The sequence below is a fragment of the Homo sapiens genome, chromosome 12, assembly GCF_000001405.40.
Source record: "Homo sapiens chromosome 12, GRCh38.p14 Primary Assembly".
NCBI lineage: Eukaryota > Metazoa > Chordata > Mammalia > Primates > Hominidae > Homo > Homo sapiens.
The window spans coordinates 48,059,488-48,084,079 of record NC_000012.12 but is presented as its reverse complement, the minus strand read 5'-3'; the positions used below and the strand labels follow the sequence as shown (position 1 = coordinate 48,084,079).

Below are 24,592 nucleotides of genomic sequence, written 5' to 3'. Positions count from 1 at the left end.
CATCTAATCTGTTATGCTTTGTCATACCACAAAACTATATGGTTTCTGACCAAAATAAATTCTAGATTGTGGATCTAAAAATGCAGTTTTAAGTGTTTGATAATTTTGACAATGTAAGATCTTTTAAGTGGCAGAACCTGATGCAGCATCCTTATATATCATTTATTCATTTATTGTATCTTTCCCTCAAATGGGAAACCTATTATTTTACCTGTTTTGTTTGGTTGGTTTTATATTTTGAAAGTGAAAATAATCTCTAGGTTGGATTTATTTTACTTATTATCTGTTCTTATCTTTCTTACAAACTCTTTTTTTAGTGGATTATCAAACAGTTTTGCGGGAAAGTCAAACCATCACTGCCATGTATCTGCATATGAAAAATCTTTTCCTATTAAACCTGTTCCAAGTCCATCTTGGAGTGGTTCATGTCGTCGAAGTCTTTTGAGCCCCAAGAAAACTCAGAGGCGACATGTTAGTACAGCAGAAGAGGTAAGGAAAACGTGTGACAAAAGCTACTAAAAGTTAGGATCTTTCCCTACATTGAGCCATTTGCTCCCTATTAATAATTAGTTGTTTAAGAACCATTCTATTTTATCCTTCCTGTGCTTTTTCTGTCTGAATTACTCTTTTTGAGTGTTATCATCTATTCTAAAGAGATTAAAGAGGTGTTTTAGCAGGACTTCATTATTTGTCTTACTATTATATCTTCTATGCCTGCTGGACAGCTGACTTTACTTAATCTTTAATGTTGCCTGAATGGTTTCTCATACATCAAAGTATCTCTCTTTGATCTTTGCTAGACCCTTCCTAAACCGTTGTCTCCTATGGAAAAATTGTTACTCTTCCTCCGTAGTTTTTGATAAAATTTTATTTCAGTCCACGTGACGTGGCTCATGCCTATGATCCCAGCACAGTGGGAGGCCAAGACAGGTGGATCACTTGAGCCCAGGAGTTCGAGACGAGCCTGGGCAACATGGAGAAACCCTGTCTCTACAAAAAATATAAAAATTAGACGGGCTTGGTGGCTCATATCTGTACTCCTAGCTACTGGCGAGGCTGAGGTGGGAGGATTGCTTGAGCCCAGGAGGTCGAGGCTGCACTCGACTTGCTTTGTGTCACTGCACTGCAGCCTGGGCATCAGAGTGAGACCCATCTCAAAAAAAAATTGTTTTTTTAATTTGATGAAATACCTATTCTTCTTACCAGGAACAATTTTTCTTCAATATAAGAGAAAAATCAAAAAGCTAGTTAAACAATATACATCCTTTCATTATGAGTAAGACCTTTTTTGAAGTTACAGACTCCTGAAAAGAAAGATGTTCTGTTGACACTTGGGTTGTTATATTAATTCAGTAAACCTAAAAGAAAAAGCCAATTTTGTGAATGTAATGTAGCATATAATTTGCATGATAGGATGTGTGCACATATCTGTTAGATTACATATTTAATGTACGTCTAATGCTGTGGTTGCTTGGAGATACAAATGAATAATAATTACCTTGCATTTAAATAGCATTAGAGCTTCCAGTGTACTTTCCACGTGTATTATTGTTTTTAATCCTTTTAACTCAGCAAAATAGGTAGAGATGAGGTAATAGTCATGTTTTACAGATTAGGAAAATAAGGGTCATAGGTCACATGACTAGTAAATGGCAGGCCTAGAACCCAGAACTTCTGAAGAGGTTTGGTCAAGTATGCTTTCTGTTATACAACACAGCAATATGGTTCCTGCCCAATGAAGCTTACTGAGCATGGAGTCAAGAATACAGCATTACCTGCTAAATAATTACATAATTTGGTAATCAGTGATCTCTTAGGTGGCAAAACTTGATTATTTGTGATATGGTTACTAAAAATGCTGTGCATATTTTTGGTTTAAAGTTTGTATTGAGGCCGGGCATGGTGGCTCATGCCTGTAATCCCAGCACTTTGGGAGGCTGAGACGGGCGGATCACGAGGTCAGGAGATGAAGACCATCCTGGCTAATACAGTGAAACCCTGTCTCTACTAAAAATACAAAAAATTAGCCAGGCGTGGTGGCGGGCGCCTGTAAGTCCTAGCTACTCGGGAGGCTGAGGCAGGAGAATGGCGTGAACCCAGGAGGCAGAGCTTGCAGTGAGCCGAAATCGCGCCACTGCACTCCAGCCTGGGTGACAGAGTGAGAAGCCGTCTCAACAACAACAACAAAAAAAGTTTGTATTGAATCTAAAACATTTGGCTGGGCATGGTGGCTCATGTACAATCCCAGCACTTTGGGAAGCAAAAGCAGGAGGATTGCTTGAGGCCAGGAGTTTGAGACCAGCCTAGGCAACATAGTGAGATCCTGTCTCTACAAAAAAAAATTAGCTGGGTGTGGTGGCAGGTGGCTGTAGTTCCACCTACTCAGGAGGCTGAAGCAGGAAGATCGTTTGAGCCCAGGATTTCAAGGCTACGGTCAGCTGTGATTGTGCCACTGCACTGCAGCCTGGGTGACAGAGCAAGACACTGTCTCAAAAAAAAAAAAAAAAAACGAAAAAACACCAACATTCAAGTGGAGGGTGGCAGAACTAGTAAGTCATTTAGCAGGGCAAGGGATAGACAAGAAACTGGCAACATTTGCCTTTGATGACAAAGCTGGACAACAATGATGAAAAGGAGATTTTTTTTAACAAAAAAATTTTTTTTGACATTACACAAATTTTCATGTCATCGTTGTACAGGGGCCATGCTAATCTTCTCTATATAGTTCCAGTCTTAGTATATGTGCTCCTAAAGTGAGCCCAAGATTTATTTTTCATTATACCTTTTATGCTATTGAATTTTATATTATATTTACATTATTTTATGCATAAATAATTACTGGAGTTGTGGGGTTTATGATTATGCTGGATTCTAGACAGCCTAAGGGGTGCAGAGAGACTTTGTGGAGGAGACAACAGCAGCATGACAGCTGGGTACAGGGCTCCTAACCCTCGCCTGCCCCATGTTTCTGTTGCTCAGGCTCACCAGGATCCTTTAATTCTGTGTTCATTGTAAGTTTGCCATTCACCCACCAGCTCTGTGGACCACTCAGCCTTCCTTCTTTTGCCTCCTCTGCCAGCCTGAGGACTGGGGGTTGCTTGGGCAATTTTACCCTTCCAAACAGCCCTCCAGGCCACAGGTTGGGTCAGTGGAGAACATGAAGGTGGAGTTCTCCTTCCTCCTGTAGTGCAAAGAAGATGCTAAGAATCTATTCTATGAAATGAGCGATGCGGGAAATTTTGCCTGTTTTTAGTTCTATATTCTCCTAATATGAAAGTCAAGCTACCTGTACTACTATATGGCTTACAGAATAAGCCATATAACATGAATAATACAAAATATTGGGCCAAACTTTATTATCAGACTTTCAACAAATTTATTTAGATGTTTATTTTTGGATATTACAAATAATTCGGATATAATACTTTTTAACCCTGGGACTAAATTTACTGATGGGAACTTACAAACTGGATGAAAAGTCACTTTCCGTGAAACGTTGGGATCCTCAGCAGAGGTACATTTGGTTATGTTAAAGGAAGATGTATTAACCTTAATGCCGGATTTGTCCATCAACTTCAGGAATATGAAGTCTTCTACAAAATTAACAATTAAGATGATGTCACCACTGCACTGCTCAGTCTTACAACAGAGGTTTGAAGAGAACACATGAAGAAGAATTTAGAAATATGCAAGTAGTGGCTGTGCAGAATGGCTGATGCTCAAGAGGCAACATCAAAAAGCTGTGCTATTCAGTAGGGTAACGGCTAGCCACAAGCACTGTTTAAATTAATTCAAATTCAAATTGAAAATTTAGTTACTCAGTGACACTAGCCACATTTTAAGTATTCATTAGCCACATGTGGCTAGTGGCTACCATATTGGACAGGGCAAATATAGAACATTTCTATTACTACAGAAATTTCTGTTAGATAATGCTGTTATAGAGGATATAAAGTTCTGTTTGGAAAAGAGAAAATACTTGTGACAATAAAAATGTAAAATGGCAAAAACACAGGTAGTTTCTTTTCAGTTACATGTTGCTTCTAGACACGCTTCTTTGCAAATTATTGAGCAACATTTTAAGATACTGGACTTTTGTAATAGGTGACAGTGATGGTTTTATACTTTTCTTAGAACTGCTTTACAGTGTTGTCATAAGTCAAGCATTTGGGACTCAGAAAATTATTGAAATTTGCACTTTGCATATTTTATATGGTATAAAGTTATTACTTTAAACAAAATGAAAATTAGGAGTATTATTTATAAAGTTATTGGTGGTAATTTATAAAAAAACAGTTTACTAGTGTCCTAAAAATTATTTTGTGCTCTCTATTAAAGTTTTATAATTTTATAGTTCTTTTATGATGGAGCCTTTTATAGAAACATCACCTAACTACAGGACTCTGTCCCTTTTAAAAAATATAATTCAGCACCTTAATTAATTATTTTTATACTTCAAAACACTCGTCTTAGGGTTTTTTCAGGTTTTAAAACGTAACATTAGCTAGCTTCTTTAACTTTATCATGCTATGCAATTATTGCTTCCTTTACTCTTAAGATCCTAATTTTCTTTTTTTATTTGAGACGGAGTCTTGTTCTCTTGCCCCAGCTGGAGTGCAGTGGCGCGATCTCGGCTCACTGCAACCTCCGTCTCCCGGGTTCAAGCAATTCTCCTGCCTCAGCCTCCTGAGTAGCTGGGACTACAGGCGGGCAGCACCGTGCCGGGCTAATTTTTTGTATTTTCAGTAGAGACGGAGTTTCACCATGTTAGCCAGGATGGTCTCGATCTACTGACTTCATGATCCACCTGCCTCGGCCTCCCAAAGTGCTGGTATTACAGGCTTGAGCCACCGTGCCCAGCCCCTAATTTTCTTATTCAGTAAAGAACAGTTAGGGCTTTCTTTAATTTTAATTTTTTTTTTAATTTTATGAAATAGAGTCTCAGTGTGTCACCCAGGCTGGAATGCAGTGGCGCAATCACAGCTCACTGCCGCCTCAACTTCCTGGCTCAAGTGATACTCCCTCTTTTGCCTTCTGAGTAGCTGCAACTACAGGCACATGCTAATATGCAGCTAATTTTTAAACATTTTTTGTGTAGAGACAGGGTCTCACTTTGTTGCCCAGGCTGGTCTCAAACTCCTAGGCTCAAGTGATCCTCTGCCTTGGCTTCCCAAAGAGTTGGAATTATAGGAGTGAGCCACTGTGTTTAACAACAACAACAACAAAAACAGTTTAACAAGTAATTTACAGAGAAAGATGTTTTCTTTTACTGATAGTACCAGATGGTCCAAAAAAGAATTTTGTTTAAAGTTTTATTTAGGTAACTTTCATTTTGGCAAAGCCAAAAAAGTTACATGTGTTCTTTTGGGAAAGGAAGAAATAAGATTGTCAGTTAGCTGGGCGTGGTGGCGGGTGCCTGTAATCCCAGCTACTCAGGAGGCTGAGGCAGGAGAATTGCTTGAACCCGGGAGGCGGAGGTTGCAGTGAGCCAAGATCGCGCCACTGCACTCCAGTCTGGGCGACAGAGCAAGACTCTGTCTCAAAAAAAAAAGAAATAAGATTGTCACTTTTACTGACAACATGATCTTATATATAGAAAACCCTACAGACTCCACCAAAGAACTGTTCAAACTATTAAATGAATACAGTGTATGTGTATGTGTGAATATATATGTGTATATATGTGTGTGTATATGTATAAGTATATATGTGTATGTGTGTGTGTGTATATATATATGTGTGTGTATATATATATATATATAAAATCCTACAGACTCCACCAAAAAACTATTAAATGAATACAGTATAGTTGTAGGATACAAAATCAACACACAGAAATTAGTAGTATTTCTATGCACTGTTAACAATGAACTATGCAAAAAAGAAGCCAAGAGAACAATCCCATTTACAATAGCTACAAAAAACCAATCAAATTTAACCAAGGAAGTAAAAGACCTACATACTGAAAAACATACAATGTTGAAAGAAATTGAAGATACAATTAAATGGAAAGCTATTCTGTGCTCATGGATTGGAAGAATTAATATTGTTTAAATGGCCATACTACTCAAAGCAATCTCCAGATTCAGTGCAATCCCTATCAAAATTCCAATGTTATTTTTCATAGAAAAAAATACTAAAATTCATATGACCACATAAATCCCTGAATAGCCAAGGCAATTATGAGCAGAAAGAACAAAAAAGAAGCTACCACACTAGCTTATTTCAAACTATACTACCAAGCTATAGTAATTAAAACAGCATGGTATTGGAAATAGACATCAGCCAATGAAACGGAATAGAGAACTTAGAAATGAACCCGTTATGCCTGTCGTGGGGTGGGGGGAGTGGGGAGGAATAGCATTAGGAGATATACCTAATGTAAATGATGAGTTAATGGGTGCAGCATACCAACGTGGCACATGTATACATATGTAACAAACCTGCATGTTGTGTACATGTACCCTAGAACTTAAAGTATGACGAAAAAAAAAGTGAACCCGTTATATAGCTAGTTGACTGATTTTTGACAAAGGTGCTAGGACTACAGAAAGGGAAAGGACAGTCTCTTCACTAAATGGTGTTGGGAAAATTATATTTCCATATGTAGAAGAATGAAATTAGGTCCTTATCTCATACCATATGCAAAAATCAACTAAAAATGGAATAAAGACTTTAAGACTAGAAACTCTAAAACTGCTAGAAGAAAACAGGAAAAACTACACGACAGTGGTCTTGGCACTGATTTTTTTGGATTTGCACGCAAAGTCATAGGCAACAAAAGCAGAAGTAGGCACATGGGAGTACATCAAACTAAAAAGCAAAGGAAACAATTAACAGTGTGCAGAGACAACCTACAGATTGGGAGAAAATATTTGCATCCATTCTATAAGGGGTTGATATTCAAAATATATAAGGAGCTCAACTCAATACCAAGAAAACAAAACTGTTAAAACATAGGCAAGACATTATCCTAGGCAAACTGATGCAGAAACAAAACCAAATGCTGCATGTTCTCACTTATAAGTGGGAGCTAAACATTGGGTACAAATGGACATAAAGATGGGAATAGTGGACACTGGGGACTACAAGATGGGAGGGTGGAAGGAGACCAAGTGTTAAACTACAAATTGGTGGCTGGGCGCCGTGGCTCACGCCTTTAATCCCAGCACTTTGGGAGGCCGAGGCAGGCAGATCACGAGGTCAGGAGATCGAGACCATTGTGGCCAACATGGTGAAACCCCGTCTCTACTAAAAATAATAAAAAAAAATGGCTGGGCGTGGTGGCGCACACCTGTAGTTCCAGCTACTAGGGAGGCTGAAGCAGGAGAATTGCTTGAACCAGGGAGGTGGAAGTTGCAGTGAGTAGAGATCGTGCCACTGCGCTCCAGCCTGGTGACAGAGTGAGACTCCGTCTCAAAAAAGAAAAAAAAAAAGCAAAAACTACATATTGGGTGCTGTGGCTCATGCCTGTAATCCCAGCACTTTGGGAGGCCAAGGTGGGCGCATCACTTGAGGTTAGGAGTTCGAGACCAGCCTGGCCAACATGGTGAAACCCTGTCTGTACTAAAAATTAAAAAAAAAAAAATTAGCTCTGTGTGGTGGCGTGCACCTGTAGTCCCAGCTAGTCCAGAGGCTGAGGCAGGAGAATCACTTGAACCTAGGAGGTGGAGGTTGCAGTGAGCCGATATGGCGCACCTGCACTCCAGCCTGGGCTGGTCAGGAGATCGAGACTATCCTGGCTAACATGGTGAAACCCCATCTCTACTAAAAACACAAAAAATTAGCTGGGCGTGGTGGCGGGCGCCTGTAGTCCCAGCACATATCGAAATATCACAGTACGAGATGGTGCTAACACTGACATAATGTTTAAAATTATGTTTTGAGGATTGGTGGTTGTATTAAACTGTATATAAGATTAAAAATAAATTGCCAGGGCATATTACTAAGTGCTAGTGAACATAGCCCATTGAGTCAGGGGACCTGTATAGAACTGATGCTTTACCAGAGTTGTAAGTCCTTATGTAATCTGGTTCTGTGTCAGGTGATCTCATTTCTTCCTACTCTTCTGATTCACATGGACCTTACTATTTTTGGAACGCATTAAGCACCTTCCTCTCTCAGGGCTTTGCATGTGTTGTTCCTCTATTTGGAATATTCTTTTATATATTTCTAGGACTGACTTCTTCCCTTGGCTTTAGGTTTCTGCTGAAATATCACTTTTTTTTAGAGAAATCTTACCTGTTCCTGCTGCTCTCCTTCCATCACTTTCCATTCTCTTACCCTTTAATTTTCTGCATACTACCTGACTGGTTTTTTGTTTGATTCCTTTCACTGCAATATAATCTCCACAAGGGCAGGAACTTTATTTTATTTGATGCATTCATTATCTTTAGTGACTGGAGCATAGTAGGTGTTCATGTCAATGAATGAATGTTAGGAAGTATATGGTTTTCACTAAATGTAGTATTGGGTCTTACAGGAAAAATAAATACATGTTGGAGATGAATATTGTCTCTGGAAAGTACCTGCACTTAAATAAAATAGGAAACTGTTGGCAAGATACTCCACTCTGATTTTGACTAGTCTGGTTACTTCCTTGTGATTTTTCTAACAGGTTTCAGGAGTCAAGGGATTTGTTGGAATCCTAATTTAGAGGCCCTTTTTTTCTGGGACTCTTTTTTGACTCAGAAGTGATTACCTGCTGGCTTTCTGGTTTTATAGCCTATAGTTCCTCTGCACTATTATTTAAATATATGTTCCATAATTTTTCAAAGTATATTATCTGGTATTTACTCAACCTGTCTTTTACACACTTGATAATTTTTGTTTTGTTTTGTTTTGTTTTGTTTTGTTTTGTTTTTTGAGACAGAGTCTTGCTCTGCCCCCAGGCTGGAGTGTAGTGGCACCATCTTGGCTCACTGCAACCTTCGCCTTCCAGGTTCAAGTGATTATCCTGCCTCAGTCTCCCCAGTAGCTGGGACCACAGGCATGTGCCACTACAGCCAGTTGGTTTTTTTTTTTAAGTTTTCTTTTGTAGAGTTGGGGTCTCACTATGTTGACTGGGCTGGTTTTGAACTTCTAGCCTCAAATGATCCTCCCCGCTTGTCCTCCCAAAGTGCTGGAATTACAGGCATGAGCCACTGTGTTAGGCCCATAATTCTTAATTATCTTAAGGATTCTGCCTGAGCTTTGGCAGAGCTAGGATTCTGTTTACATGCTAGTTTGAGAAATACTTGCCTTATTGGATGTGTTTAAACTGTTTTTTTTTTTTGTTTTCTTATAGACAGTTCAAGAAGAAGAAAGAGAGATTTACAGACAGCTGCTACAGATGGTCACAGGGAAACAGTTTACTATAGCCAAACCCACCACACATTTTCCTTTACACCTGTGAGTCACAGAAGCATATTTCAGATGAATTTAATTCTACAATTTATTACTTGATATTGAAACAATATTCTTCTCTTGCTAGGTCTCGATGTCTTAGTTCCAGTAAAAATACTTTGAAAGACTCACTGTTTAAAAATGGAAACTCTTGTGCATCTCAGATCATTGGCTCTGATACTTCATCATCTGGATCTGCCAGCATTTTAACTAACCAGGAACAGCTGTCCCACAGTGTATATTCCCTATCTTCTTATACCCCAGATGTTGCATTTGGATCCAAAGATTCTGGTACTCTTCATCATCCCCATCATCACCACTCTGTTCCACATCAGCCAGATAACTTAGCAGCTTCAAATACACAATCTGAAGGTAAACATGGTATCATATAACTACATTTTTAGTCCTAATAGCCAATTAACTGTTCATTAGCTCATTACAGGCAACATTGTAATATACATATAAATAAATGAGCATACCGAATCTGAAAATATGAAGTCCGAAATGTTCCAAAATCTGAAACTTTTTGAATACCAACATGATACTCAGGAAATGCTCAGTGGAGCATTTGGGATTTTGGATGTTTGGATTTGGGATGCTCAAATTGTATAATGCAAATATTCAAAAGTCCAAAAAATCCAAAATTTGAAACTCCTGGTCCCAACCATTTTGGATAAGGGATACTGAACTTGTAAGACATGTACTTACATACTTTAAATACATATGATTCAGTTAACCATGCTGTGAGTAAACTAAATCCACAAATAGGATATTCTTTTTTTCTTACCTCAAGATGCAAATGATTTGATACATTTTATTTAAACAACTTCCTAAGTACAGGCTAGAGTCAAAGTATATATACTCAGCCCAATTGCTTCAGCACTTTCTCTGTTTCTATGACTTTACAGTGGTAAGTAAGAATTCTGAAGTTGTAGGAGTTTTGAAACATCAGATAAATACTGAAGCTTAAGTACTTAGGTTTGTGCGTTTTAGAATGATTGTCAGCATTGGAAGCAAAAAGTTTTCTACGTAACTTTCAACTAACTGAAATATTCACTCTCTTTGCATTCCAGTTAATTAAGGTTTTGTCGTGATAGGTTTGTTTCCTTAATTTCCCCCTTCTTTAGGTATGTATTATGTATCAATTTATGGTATGTACTTAGGTATGCAACTTAAAACAAGTTATAGGTTAAATGGTTAAACATCAGGGATTTTTTGATAGATGGAGCACTAGTCTTTCCCCTCCTTTCTCAGGTTGTTTGAGGTTTTTTTTTTAATCTATTTGTACTTTGTGAAAATTCTCACTCAGGATTAAACTTTTTGGTAGCATCATTGTATAGCTACACATATCCATGAAGACTCTTGTTATATTTTGTGAGGTGATGTACTGAGAACTGTAAAGGAAAAAAAAAAGCCAAAAAACCCAAACTCCTTTAACCTCAGAAACATACATTGTGTTGCAGATACTTAGATACAACTAAGTTGAAACAAATATACTACATTGCACTGTTTAATTACTTTCCTTGTACCATGTAATAAATACTCTGAGGTTCTAATGACAGCACTTTAGAAGAACATGATTCCTGCCTTTGAGTAGTATTCAACAGAGAAAATACATAATAGAATGATAAAATTTGTACTTTTTAGACACCTCCTGGGGTGCTATTTCCTTCCCTGTCCCCCTTCCCTCCTTCTTCCAGTTTCTTTCCCTCTTCCATTCCCCCACCCCTTCTTTCACCTAATTCAGTCGCATTGTAGATCATGAACTACAGTAGTTCCCCCTTATCTGTGGGGGGAGGATATGTTCCAAGACCCGCCCCCCACCAGTGGATGCTTGAAACCATGGAGAGTATACTATATATACCATACCCTATATACATCATGTTTTTTCCTATACATACATACTAATGATTATAAATTAGGTGCAGTAAGAGATCAACAATAATAACTAATAACAAAAATTATAACAATATACTGTAATGAAGATGTTACTTTTTTCTTATTAAATCAAAAACTTTAACCTTTTCACTTAAAGGAAGTAGTGTTTTTTGTTTTTGTTTTTGTTTTTGTTTGTTTTTGAGACTGAGTGTCACTCTGTTGCTCAGGCTGGAGTACAGTGGGACCATCTTGGTTCACTGCAACCTCGCATGTCCTGGGTTCAAGCGATTCTGCTGCCTCAGCCTCCTGAGTAGCTGGGATTACAGGTGTGAGCCATTATGCCCAGCTAATTTTTGTATTCTTAGCAGAGACAGGTTTCACCATGTTGGCCAGGCTGGGGAAGCACTTTTTACGGCTTCTCTTTGGCATACCTGAATTGCCAACATCATTACTTTTGCCTTTTGGGGACATTATTAAGTAAGGGTTACTGAACACAAGCACTGCTATACTGAGACAGTCAATTGGATGACTGAGGTGACTACTAAATGACAGGTGGTGCATACAACATGGATATGCTGGACAAAGGGATGATTTCATGCCTGAAATAGAGCTGGATAGAGATTTTTATCACATTACTTGGAATGGCATGCAATTTAAAATTTACTAATTATTTCTGGAATTTTCCATTTAATATATTTGGACCGCAGTTAACTATGCGTAACTGAAACCATAGAAACCAAAATTGCAGATAGAGGACTACCATGAAGACTTTTAAGGAATCCTGCCATGTTCTTGTTCTCCTGAAACAGACAGGAAGCACAGGGAGCAAGTGCAGCCTAGGAGGAAATTCTGAAGGGCAAATATGTTTGTTATTTCCCAGGGATTTTCTTATTTGTGAAGCAAATTCTTCACTAAGACCTATTTCTGTTCTCAGTGACAATGGACTTGCCTCTCTCTCTCTCCCATCTAACCTTTGTTCTTATGTTATTTTTGTGGAAATAAAATATAGCAAAGTATGGGAACTTAAACTAAGATATCTAGAAAGTATAACTTTGTGGAGTTTTATTACTAATGAAATGCTCTTGTGTTTCTTTAGGATCAGACTCTGTGATTTTACTGAAAGTGAAAGATTCCCAGACTCCAACTCCCAGGTAAACTTTGGAAAAAGCTTGTTCTTTATTAATTAATTAATATATCTTTTTGAGACGGAGTCTCGCTCTGTTGCCCAGGCTGGAGTGTAGTGGCGCGATCTTGGTTCACTGCAACCTCCACCTCCCTGGTTCAAGCAATTCTTCTGCCTCAGCCTCCCGAGTAGCTAGGATTACAGGCGCCCGCCACCACGCCCAGCTAATTTTTGTATTTTTAGTAGAGATGGGGTTTTGCTGTGTTGGCCAGGCTGGTCTCGAACTCCTGACCTCAAGTGATCCACCTGCCTCGGCCTCCCAAAGTGCTGGGATTACAGGCGTGAGCCACCATGCCTGGCCTAAAAGTTTCTTCTTAACATATTGTTTTCCCTTTCTTTAATCACAGCTTTTTCACTAAAAGTTACATAATGTAAAACTACCTCAATTCAGACCTTTCTCACGTATTACTTGAATTATTTTAGTGGCTTTATAATTGTTCTTCCTTCAGCCTCTATTTTGTTCTTCATTCCGTCTTCCACCATACCATGTTCTTGAAACAATTTTTCTGCCTTGCTCTTTTTTCATTTGTTTTTGTTTTTGTTTTTGTTTTGAGACAGGGTCTTGCTCTGTCACCCAGGCAAGAGTGCAGTGGCACAATCATGGCTCACTGGAGCTTTGAACTCCTGGGCTCAAGTGATCCTCTTGCCTCAGCTGGGACCACATATGCATGCCACCATACTTGGCTAACTTTTAAATTTTTCTTTTGTAGAGACGGGATCTTGCTATGTTGACCAGGCTGGTTTTGTACTCCTAGCCTCAAGCGATCCTCCTAACTTGGCCTTCCAAAGTGCTGGGATCGTAGGTGTGAGCCACTGCACCCGGCCTGCTGTGTTCTTTAGTCCATCTTCCATGCTGCAATCAGAGTGATCTTTCAGAATTCATGTCTGATCATTCATTAAAGGGGTTTAATGATTATTTGTTAACCTCCTTCAAGGGTGGTTTATCAGACATTGAATTAAGCTCAGGCTCCTTACTATGGTATACAAAGCACTTCTTTCACAAGCCTCACTTTCTCACTTTTAACAAATATTTACTGAGAGCCTACTGTGTGCCAGGTACTAGTATAAATATTGAGGATAATAGGGAACAATGTGAAGTCCCTATTCTCAAGGAGCTTGCATTCTACTTGAGGGGAAGGATGAAGGACAATGTGAAGTCCCTATGCTCAAGGAGCTTGCATTCTACTTGAGGGGAAGGATAAACAAATGTATATGCCTTGTGATAAGTGCTATGAAGAAAATTGAAGCAGGGTAATATATAGAGTAGGATTGGGAGGATACTATTTGTATAGGGTGGTCATGGAAAGTCTCTGATAAAGTGACTTGAGCAGAGACATGATGGAGGTAAGAGGGAGCCATATGGAAATATGGGACTCTTTCATGTGTTTTTATAAGCTGGACTATTTTCAGTTTGCAAATACAATAAGCATTTCTTACCTTCACATTCAGTGTTCTTTTTGCCTGGAATGTCCTCCGTACCTCAACTTTGTCTGTCAGTAGTGTTTTATCTTTTAGGTCTCAACTCACATGTGAACTTCTGCATGAAACTTTACTTATCTGGAGGTATCAAATACTTCTTCCTCTGTAATACAGTAATAGTAATCCATAGTAACCATTACTATGATTGCTATGCCTTTGCCATATATGGCTTTGGGAATTCAATTGCTAGGATGAGAATAATATCAGTTTTCCGTTGAGAAGATTAAGAGTAATGAAATATTCTTTCTCATCTCAGTTCCCCTACTTCTTTGCAGCTCCCCATATGTTCTAAGCTTTAAATATTTCTTAAAATTCTCTATTTGTTAAGTCTTTTGGGGAGACTTCATAGTTTGGATTCTTTATTTCTTACATCTTTTTTGGAGTCAGATCTGCCTTCTGATCTTGGGTTGGAAAAGGCTTCATGTAGCTTTGGACAAGTTACTCTTATGAACCTCAGTTTCCTTATCAATAAAATGCCAGTATTGATACCTTACACTTAATTGTGAAGATTAACTTACAGATAAAACACTTATTTTTATAAGTGCTTCACATGAAATGCCACAAGATGCATGCAACTTTCTTGGGAAGAAGTTGATCTCTCAGGTAAAGAGTTGATCTCAGTTCCTTAATGGTTCTTTACTAAGACTGCCTTTCCTTTACGGAGGATTTCCCCTAGTGATGACTAAAGAATGAGATGGCAGGAGAAATGGTCTGTTGGGTAAGGCTGTTTGAGCAATGCTCTTTGTCAAAGTTGGTGCCTACTCTGCTGAGGCTTGGTTTATTGGCTCTCTACTCTTAATTCTCCACTACTGCCTCTCAGTTAAGTTCCAGTAATGAAGATCTGCTTTTATTTCCCAGAATATGCTATGCTGTGTCATACCTCTTTGCCTTTATACATTCTGATCCTTCTGTCTGGATGTCCCTTTCTCTCTCTGTCTACTTGGTAAGCTCTTATTTTGCTTCCTTTTCTTTCTTTCTTTTTTTTTTTTTTTTTTTTTTTTTTGTGACAGAGTCTTGCTCTATCATCCAGGCTGGAGTGCAGTGGCACAATCTCTGCTCACTGCAACCTCCGCCTCCCGGGTTCAAGTGATTCTCGTGCCTTACCCTCCAGGGTAGCTGGGATTACAGGCATATGCCACCACACCCAGCTAATTTTTGTATTTTTAGTGGAGATTGGGTTTCACCATGTTGGCCAAGCTGGTCTCGAACTCCTGACCTCCGGTGTTCCACCCACCTCAGCCTCCCAAAGTGCTGGGATTACAGGCATGAGCCACTGTGCCTGGCCTTAATTTTGCTTTTCAAAATCTCATCCAGGTGTTATTTTTTTTTTCTCAGAAGATTTCTTTGACTTTGCCAGATAATGTTAGTTTTTCCCTCCATCCTTCTACCTTGTTTGTTACTAATACTTTTGTATCTGTCACCCATTGCTGGTCATAGTGCTTGGCATATGATGGGTGCTCAGTAAATAAATCTTTGTTAAACAAATGAATTTCCTAGATAGCCTGAAGTGCTCTCTTGAGTAGCCCAAGTACTTATTCCTCCCCCGCTTTTTTTTAATGCTTTCATCTATTGAAAGGCACAGTCGAAAGAACACAGTCTTTGGAATTGGACAGATAAGATTTCTAATCCTAGCCTTTCAAGAGAAATTATCTTTTTGAACCTCCTTTTTCATTTCTGTACAGTATGAGTAATAATTCTTTTTTATATATTATGTTGAGGTTTAAATAGTATAGGGATTTTCATTAGGCTTAACTAATACATAAAACATCTAGAGCAGAGTTTTACATGTAGAGCACTAAGTATGTGCTCAAAAACATTTGCAGTTATTATTACTATATGCCTCAATTATATGAGAAATAATGCATCTCTTTGGAAAAGCAGATTTTCCCTGCATTTTGTTTTCCGGAGCCAGTGGATACCTTGATCCATTGAAGAAAACTGCTTGTCCCTACATTACTTGTTTATTCAAGAAATACTATATGGCTGGGCATGGTGGCTCATGCCTGTAATCCTAGCACTTTGGGAAGGCCAAGGTGGATGGATCACCGGAGGTCATGAGTTCGAGACCAGCCTGGCCAACATGGTGAAACCTCGTCTCTACTAAAATAAAAATAAAAAAAAGAAAAAATTAGCCAGGTGTGGTGGCGGGTGCCTGTAATCCCAGCTACTCAGGAGGCTGAGGCAGGAGAATCTCTTGAACCCGAGAGGTGGAGGTTGCAGTGAGCCGAGATTGTGCCACTGTACTCCAGCCTGGGCAACAGAGTGAGAGTCAAAAAACAAACAAACAACACTAAATGCCTACTCTGTGCCAAGCACTATTCTAGTTGCAGATCATTTTTTTTTTTTTAAGAGACAGAATCTCACTATGTTGCCCAGGCTGGTCTTGAACTCTTGGCTCAAGCGATTCTCCCACCTCAGCGTCCTAAAGCACTGGGATTACAGGAATGAGCCACCATGCCTGGCCTCTGATCCAGGTCTCTTAACTCCCAATTTGATGCTCTGTTTACTTGTTCTCTATATTTAATAGTTTTCTTTGGAAAAGTGTTCACTCTTCTTCTTTGTGTTTCTGTGATAGATCCTGCCTAGTTAGGAGTTTGGAGATAAGGAAGTTTGAGAAAAACAAGAGGCTCTAGGACAATTAATCATGTCTGTGGCTCTGCTCAGCATATCACTTGGGTTGTCAGCAGAGCCACATGGACCTAGAATTGGCCTGTCATCTTTGGAAGGAAGTTGTGTTGCTGATTCTCTGCTTTGGCTCATTGGCTTGTTAGCCATTTGATGTAGATTATTTTGTGTGTGGGGATTTTTAATAAATCTTTCAATCTGAGTCATTTGGGAAGAGCAATGTTCTAGCTTAATGTATTATTTTGAGAAGTGATGTCCTCTTTCACGTAATGTTGGTCTCATGCAAGTAGGGAGCTATGCCAAATGTAGTATCTCTGCTGAACTTTGGGTCACCTTTTTAACTAATATGTATCCATATGATTTTAACTAATATGTATGCATAAGGATTGTGTCTCCTTAATTCCTAGTTACAATTATTTTATGTCATTTAGATTCCTTTTACTTATTCCATACTTGTAAAGCACTCATATAAACAATTTAAATGATTGTTTTTATTGATGAAAATATTTTAATTTTCTCATAAGCCTCCTGCTCATTTGTCAAATTTTTCTTTTCCTACCCATAGTTCTACTTTCTTCCAGGCAGAGCTGTGGATCAAAGAATTGTAAGTTATTTTTGGTATCATTTTTCCTTCTCAATCAGTTCATTTTTAGTTAGAAGAAATCAAACAATTAGCTAATCATCCTGCTTATTTTTTGCCAATAAGAAGTACCTGTTTAGGCTGGGCGCGGTGGCTCACGCCTGTAATTCCAGCATTTTGGGAGGCTGAGGCAGGTGGATCATCTGAGGTCAGGAGTTCAAGACCAGCCTGGCCTTCATGGTGAAACCTCATCTCTACTAAAAATACAAAAATTGGCTGGGCATGGTGGCACGCGCCTGTAATCCTAGCTACTTGGAAGGCTGAGGCGGGAGGATTGCTTGAACCTGGGAGGTGGAGGTTGCAGTGAGCCGAGATCACGCCACTGCACTCCAGCCTGGGCAACAGAGTAAGACTCCATCTCAAAAAAAAAAAAAAAGAAGTGCCTGTTTATACTTTTAAGTTGTTGGGTTTTCAAAATATTGTTGGAGTTGGAACATTTCTATACTTATGTTTATTAAATCTATAACAATTGTTGAAGCTAAATTAAATTGGAAAAATAGAGTTAGCTATTATATAATAGGGAAAATAAATGATCCTATTTTGGCATTTGTAAAACTAATTTATTGAATAATTCATATTTCTGGACTTTGCAAAATCACTGAAAGCATTTAGTCTCACTTAAGGAACTTAAGTTATCCAAACCCCTCGGTCTCGGTAATTTTTTAAAAATCTATCAAAAATGAAGTATTTGAATTAAACTTCAGTGATATCTTGTATTCGTTTCTCCTTTAGGGTTCAATCCCATTTTTGGATTTCCAGACTGAAGTTTCGCTTTCACTATAATCTTAAAAGCATGTTAAGAAAAGAACTGTGTGTTTACAAATGTTAACAAGTCATCTGTTCACATTTAGCAGCACACTAATATTTTTAGTAATTTCAGTAAAAATAGGTCGGGTGCAATGGCTCACATCTGTAATCCTAGCACTTTGAGAGGCCAAGGTAGGGGGGTCGCTTGAGCCCAGGAGTTTGAGACTAGCCCGGGCACTGTAGTGAGACCCTATCTCTATAAAAAATAATAAGTAAAAATGGTAGAGTAATTTCAGTAACATTATGTGGTTTCACTCTATGTCTTAAAATAAGGATGATAAGTTAGTGTAAGGATTTTAGACTTTCTTTGTGAGGGTCCTGTATTTAATATTCAGTGTACATCAACAATATGTTTCATAATGAGAGTGGTCTACATTTGGTCACGTTCCTTTTCATTTTCTAGAACTAGTGTTTATGATTCTCGAGCACGAGAAAGATTGCGCCAGATTGAAGAACAGAAGGCATTGGCCTTACAGCTTCAAAACCAGGTAAAAAAGAAAATTGGAATAATATTACAAATAAATAGTACATCAAAGTAGAAACTATTTTGGAAAGTTACCCAGATTTGGGTAATTGCTGTTGTAATTCCAAGATCGTATGGTAGCATAGCATGTTATGATATGTCGTAAATGTTCTTGGTCTGTCCAGTCAGTGCTACTCATTGTACATAAGACAAATATAGATAGTCCCCTACTTGTGATGGTTCGACTAATGATTTTTTGACTTTACAAAAAAGCGAAAGCAATGGGCATTTAAGCACGCTCTTTGACTTATGACAGGTTTATTGGGACATAACCCTATCATAAATCAAGGAACATCCACAGATTTCTTTATCCCACTTACTCTGAAGTTTTATCTTTCAGAGATTGCAGGAGCGGGAACATTCAGTACATGATTCAGTAGAACTACATCTTCGTGTACCTCTTGAAAAGGAGATTCCTGTTACTGTTGTCCAAGAAACACAAAAAAAAGGTCATAAATTAACTGATAGTGAAGATGAATTTCCTGAAATTACAGAGGTAAGTTACATACACTTAATTTCTACACTACTAAGTATCATGTTTAGAAAGAATCCCTCGGATGAGTTTCAAACATAAAAGCAATAGTGGTCAGGCACGGTGGCTCACGCCTGTAATCCCATCACTTTGGGAGACTGAAGCGGGTGGATCACTTGAGGTTAGGAGTTCGAGACCAGCCTGGCCAACATGGTAAAACCCCATCTCTACCAAAAATACAAAAATTAGCTGGGTGTGGTGGCATGCACCTGTAATCCCAGCTACACAGGAGGCTGAGGCAGGAGAATTGCTTGAACCCGGGAGGCAGAGGTTGCAGTGAGCCGAGATCATGCCACCGTACTTCAGCCTGGGTGACAGAGCAAGACTCCATCTCACATACACACACACACAAAAAGCCATAGAACACGTGTTATTTAAATTTTCTTGTATATTTCAGCTTTCGCTTATTTTATATACCAATCTGGGCTTTATTTTTAAAATATTGAAAATTTATGAAAGAACTATGGGTGGCTTTTAACAGTTTCAGTGAAGAAGCATTTAATACATTTGTCTTTCATGTCATGTGCATTTTTACTTAATGCACACATACAATAGTTTGACCTCAAATTGTAAGCTGAGATTTGCTCTTTTTTTAAGTAATAAAACCCATTATAGAAAATTTGGAAAATACATGGAGGTCTGTGTACATTTTTAGATAATCCGTTTCTTTATCCATACTTCTCTTTGAAACACTACCATGTAGCTGGTGAGCATAACACACTTATTATAGTTGTACTGAATTCCATACTTTACATTTAAAAAAAAAGATCTCTAAGAAAGTAATTTCTAAAAGATACTGCCTTTACTCTCTTACTACCTTTTATGAAAAATTCTGTTTCTCAGGAAGTCATTTGGACCAGAGATATAAAATACAGTTAATTTTTCTCATGTGCTTAGAAAATTTGATAGCGGAAGGTTGTTCCAGACTTTAGGAATTAATATGGAAACAAGGATCTGAATGTTGTGCTGAAAAAGAGAAGGGAGGACTAGATGAAGTGGAAAGAAGTAATCGGGGATTACTGGGAAGGAATAGAAACCAAAATGTTAGAAGTAAACTGATTAACAGTAAATTTATAAACAATCGAATGGTGATAAATATAGTCTGAGGATTATATGGGGTTTGGTGAGAAATACGGTTTTTCTGAAGCCACGCGTGTTTGATGTCTTGACACCTTTTGTTTTCTTAGGAAATGGAGAAAGAAATAAAGAATGTATTTCGTAATGGGAATCAGGATGAAGTTCTCAGTGAAGCATTTCGCCTGACCATTACACGCAAAGATATTCAAACTCTAAACCATCTGAATTGGCTCAATGATGAGGTAATGTTGCATCTATTTTTACATACAAATAGTAAACATTAAGTGGCAGTTAAATTAAGGCATTATCTCACTTTTTCTCAAAATGTGGTCCATGGATGACCTGCATTGGAATCATCTCTCATAGGCCTCTTCATTCTTGTAACTATGAGGGAGTGTGGTGGAGACAGGCATTTTTAACAAACATCTCAGGTGTATTTTAAAGTCTGAGAACCACTGAATTTACCTTTTCTTGTTGAAGATTTGAACATTGAAGAAGACATTCACTCATTGGTATTCTCACTCTTTAAGGCTCCTATTCTGCAGTTCATCTCTTCTGAACAAATAAGTATTAGCCGACCATGTTGCAGCATGAGGGAATACTGTGGGATTTCTTTATAGGAATCCAGTTTTACTTCCCTTTCTACCTAAGTTCTACTCATTTTAGATCACTTATATTACGAATGACAAGCTTTCCAAAATCGCCTCCATTTATGTATGATATTTTTTAAATGGACATTGAAAAAGTTATATTATTATTAAATATTTGAGGTATTGGGGGAGAAGTTACGGTCTTCACCTCCTAACTCCAATTTATTTTAAGTATATTAATTACACTACAGTTTTTAAACTGATCTGTTCCTAAGCCTAAACCTGTAGGTACCTGTTTTATTTTAGAAGGTTATTTTTACAGCAAAAGAAAACTGGGTTGGGTATCTTTTCCTAAGTACCTTCTTTGCATAAGCATCCCTGGCTAATCTGGGTATACTCAAGCTTCACAGCTGTGGAGGATTTTTAGTTTCTCAGTGTAGTAATCATTAAATATTTTAGATATCCATATCCTGTTTTTGTATGATCAAGACCTTCCAAATAATATTTGCCAATAACTATTGATCATTTACCTCATTAGTACGATTCATGTTTTATGTGTTTTATTCTTGTAATAGTCATCATATCTTTGGAAGTAGATATGATAGTTCACCATTCTGCAGATAAAGAAACAAGGCATAGAAAGATTTAAAAACTTGCAAGGTTATACAGCTAGTAAACAGCAGAGCCAAGATTAAGACCCAAGCATTGGGTCTTATCTACTATATCTTAACTACCTCAGAATCTTAAATTGGATACTGGTCTTAGGATCAGATATATAGAACTTAGGAGCCATATATCATGTCCAGGATGCTTTTTTTCTCTGGGGCCAGCCCCATTCTTTTTGCCACTGGTTGGTTTATAAGATAAAAATTTCAGAAGCTCATCACTCCCTGAATAATATCTGTGACCAAGAATAATAAGGAAGGCATGGTTTGTTACTGTCTTTCTTTAGAAGAAACCCTCTTTGCCTCTTTTGGCTCAGATATTAGAACATTGGTTCAAATAATGGAAAAAAAGAGCTCACCAAATCAAAGGAGGAAATTAAATCAAGGATAGTTATAAGTATCCACTGATAAGTTATTTTTGATCTGTGGTCCTTTGCCATTTATTTCCTGCCATTGCTGGTGGTGCGAGGTCAGTTACTCTAAAGGGATAGTAGGCTTTAGTTTGTTGTAAATCATGGAAAACCTCCTAGAGGGCAGCAATCAGTAGGATATGAGCTGAGTTCTTGCTATTTACTGTGGCATTTACCTCAGTGAGATTCCTTACAGAGACAGCATTCATCAGGACATATTTTCCATTCCCTGGGCCCATCAGAGGCTGGATTTTTAGCAAGCTAAGTTAATGGAAATTACATTATTTTAGAGGAGATGAGAAGAAGGAAAGATTCTTTGTCTACTTTATCCCTACCACCCCTAGCCATAACTTTTGTAGAAGGAGTGCATTTCTTCTCAGTTCAGAATGATGTTATCCTTGAAAATGAGTGCCAGTTCACATGTCCATAATAATGATGGGAGCTATCTTAAAAAGCACCATTTTCAAAGTACCATACTTCGTAGGCTTTCAAAGTTACTGCCCTTGAGAAGCTAACATCCTGATGGAGTATTATTAGGTATCCTTAAGTATTGATACTCATTGAAGAATACTTAATTTTGGCCAGACACAGTGGGTCATGCCTATAATCCCAGTGCCTTGGATGGCTAAGGTGAGAGGATCACCTGAGGCCAGGAGTTCAAGAGCAGCCTGGGCAACATAGCAAGACCCGATCTCTACAAAAAAATTAAAAATTAGCCAGCCATGGTGGCATATGCCTGTAGTCCCAGCTGTTCAGGAGGCTGAAGCAGGAGGATTGCTTGAGTTTAGGAGTTTGAGTTTATAGTGAGCTATGACTGAGCCACTGTACTCTAGACTGGGTGACAGAGCAAGACTCTGTGTCTTCAAAAGAATACAAAACTTAATTCTGTTTCTCAGTTGTGAACTATCAGTCTTTTGCAAATGATTTGTCCTCTGTTCAATCCTCTTCTTCCCTCAAGTAGATATTTTCATTAATAATAATTTCTCTTCTTTTTCTGTTTCCTGCTTTATAAGATGTATTAAAACTTTCTCCAAAATAGGTGACTGATACATTGTTCTTATCATTTTATAAACAAAGTACCATACTTTGTAGGCTTTCAGAGTTAAAAAGTAATATAAGAGCAAGGAAGTAAAAGGAATCAGATTCAGTTTATAAGGAAAATAAAATCCAGAAATCCTATGTTTGGGATATGTATGGAAAGCCATTAGGATACCCTGTTCCTAAAAGAAGAGTGACCACAGTACCTATTCATACAGTAGGTTTTAAGATTTTTTTCATAAATGGATTTCTCTATAGGTCAGTTTGGTTAAATTCTGTACAACTTCAAAGGACTAATGATTGACAGGATTAATATAATAAAACGTCTCAAAAATGGAATGTGGGAACTGGCTGCCATATAAAGAATACAAAAGGAGGCAAGAAGACTGTTACAATCAAGACACCGTAGATGGGGATTTCTATACTGGGTCAGGAGATTAGTTACTAATAGAAATATCTAATTAAGGGAAGGGAGGATAGAGTTAAAGAGAGGAGAAATTACACTGGGAGCAGTGGCTCATGCCTGTAATCCGAACACTGAGAGGCTGAGGTGTAAGGATTGCTTGAGCCCAGGTTGTCAAGGCTGCAGTGAGTTATGATTGTGCAACTGCACTCTACTACAGGGTGAGTGACAGAACAAGACTCTGAGATCCTGTCTGTTTTTTAGAAAAAGGGAGAGAGGAAAAATTAGTTGCAAAAGTAGAAGTAGATTGAAGCAGTCAAGAAACAGAAGGAAATATTTTCAAATGGGTGTCATTATTAGAAACTATGTATTAATTCCTGGAGATTGAATTGGATGACTTCTGGAATCCCTTCCAACTTTAAGATTCTAGGTGTATTATCCTGAGTACTGCTTTAGGCTTTGTGTTTCTCTTTATGGCCAAATGGTTCTCCTTTGAGGGACTAAGGATTGTTTTAAAAGGCATCAGATAAATTTAGAAATACATGGATATAATTTAGGTATACAAGTAAATAAAACTTACTTTTGCTTCTGGTCATGATAAAGGAAACAAGATTTACCCTTTCAACTTAACTAGAAAATTAGACAAAAGATGAAACAACAATTTTCAGACATTGGATAACAGGTAGTACCAGGCAGTGATCCCTGAGGAAGGGAAATAAAAGGTATGTATGCTATAATATCCCCAGCTTTCTAGGGTGGGGTGTGTGTGTTGTGAAGGAGGGACTGGTAGAGTCTGTGCAGAGGGGCTTCCCTCCAGTCTTTGGCTGAGTACCAATTTGTGCATGTATGAAAAGAAGCTACCAGAGGCTGGGGAAAGAACCACCAGAAAGAAGGAATCAGCAGTCTTAGAGCCAGCACAGGTGTCAATAGTTTATGTTCCAACCAGTTAAGAGTAGAAAAACCTCCTAAGTCACAGGGCATTGAATAGAATCTTCAGAGGGGTATTGCCTCAGAAATAGGGCAAAACTGACCCTAGAATAAAGGCTGCTCTGGACCCACCATCACAAAGCCTAAAAACAAACCTCAAAAGCCTGAAACTGATCCAAATAACCTATATCCCAGAGAAAAGCCAACAATGTTTAAAGGAATACAACGAATTCCATCAACAACAAGGCCCAGCATAAAATTTGCAATATCCAGCATCCAACTAGAAATGACCAGACATACATGAGGCGGGAAAGTACAATTTATGATGAGGGAGAAAAGAAACACTCAGAAATGACCAAAATAATAGAATTAGCAGACAAGGATTTTTAAAAAGTTACTATAAATATCTTCCACATATTCAAGAAGATAGA

At 38.2% G+C, this 24,592-nt stretch overlaps 1 protein-coding gene and 1 pseudogene across 16 annotated transcripts in view; one reads left to right on the top strand and one right to left on the bottom strand.

Annotated features, from left to right (window-relative positions):
- SENP1 (SUMO specific peptidase 1) overlaps positions 1–24,592 on the top strand; it is a 63,183-nt gene that overhangs the window by 22,000 nt on the left and 16,591 nt on the right. For 12 of the 16 annotated variants that reach the window (NR_051992.2, NR_051991.1, NM_001267594.2 and 9 more), the window contains 8 exons: positions 318–489; positions 9,287–9,390; positions 9,473–9,756; positions 12,359–12,413; positions 17,115–17,153; positions 18,400–18,484; positions 18,860–19,015; positions 20,239–20,370. Coding sequence is in view for 14 of the 16 variants with exons in the window: in NM_001267594.2 (NP_001254523.1) it covers positions 318–489; positions 9,287–9,390; positions 9,473–9,756; positions 12,359–12,413; positions 17,115–17,153; positions 18,400–18,484; positions 18,860–19,015; positions 20,239–20,370 (1,027 nt within the window). In the remaining 2 variants the exon portion in view is untranslated. The remainder of the gene's footprint in view (positions 1–317; positions 490–9,286; positions 9,391–9,472; positions 9,757–12,358; positions 12,414–17,114; positions 17,154–18,399; positions 18,485–18,859; positions 19,016–20,238; positions 20,371–24,592) is intronic. The other 4 variants (XM_017019237.2, XM_047428752.1, XM_011538244.4 and 1 more) reach the window with 1 other exon arrangement.
- RNU6-1203P (RNA, U6 small nuclear 1203, pseudogene) lies at positions 2,652–2,761 on the bottom strand (annotated as a pseudogene).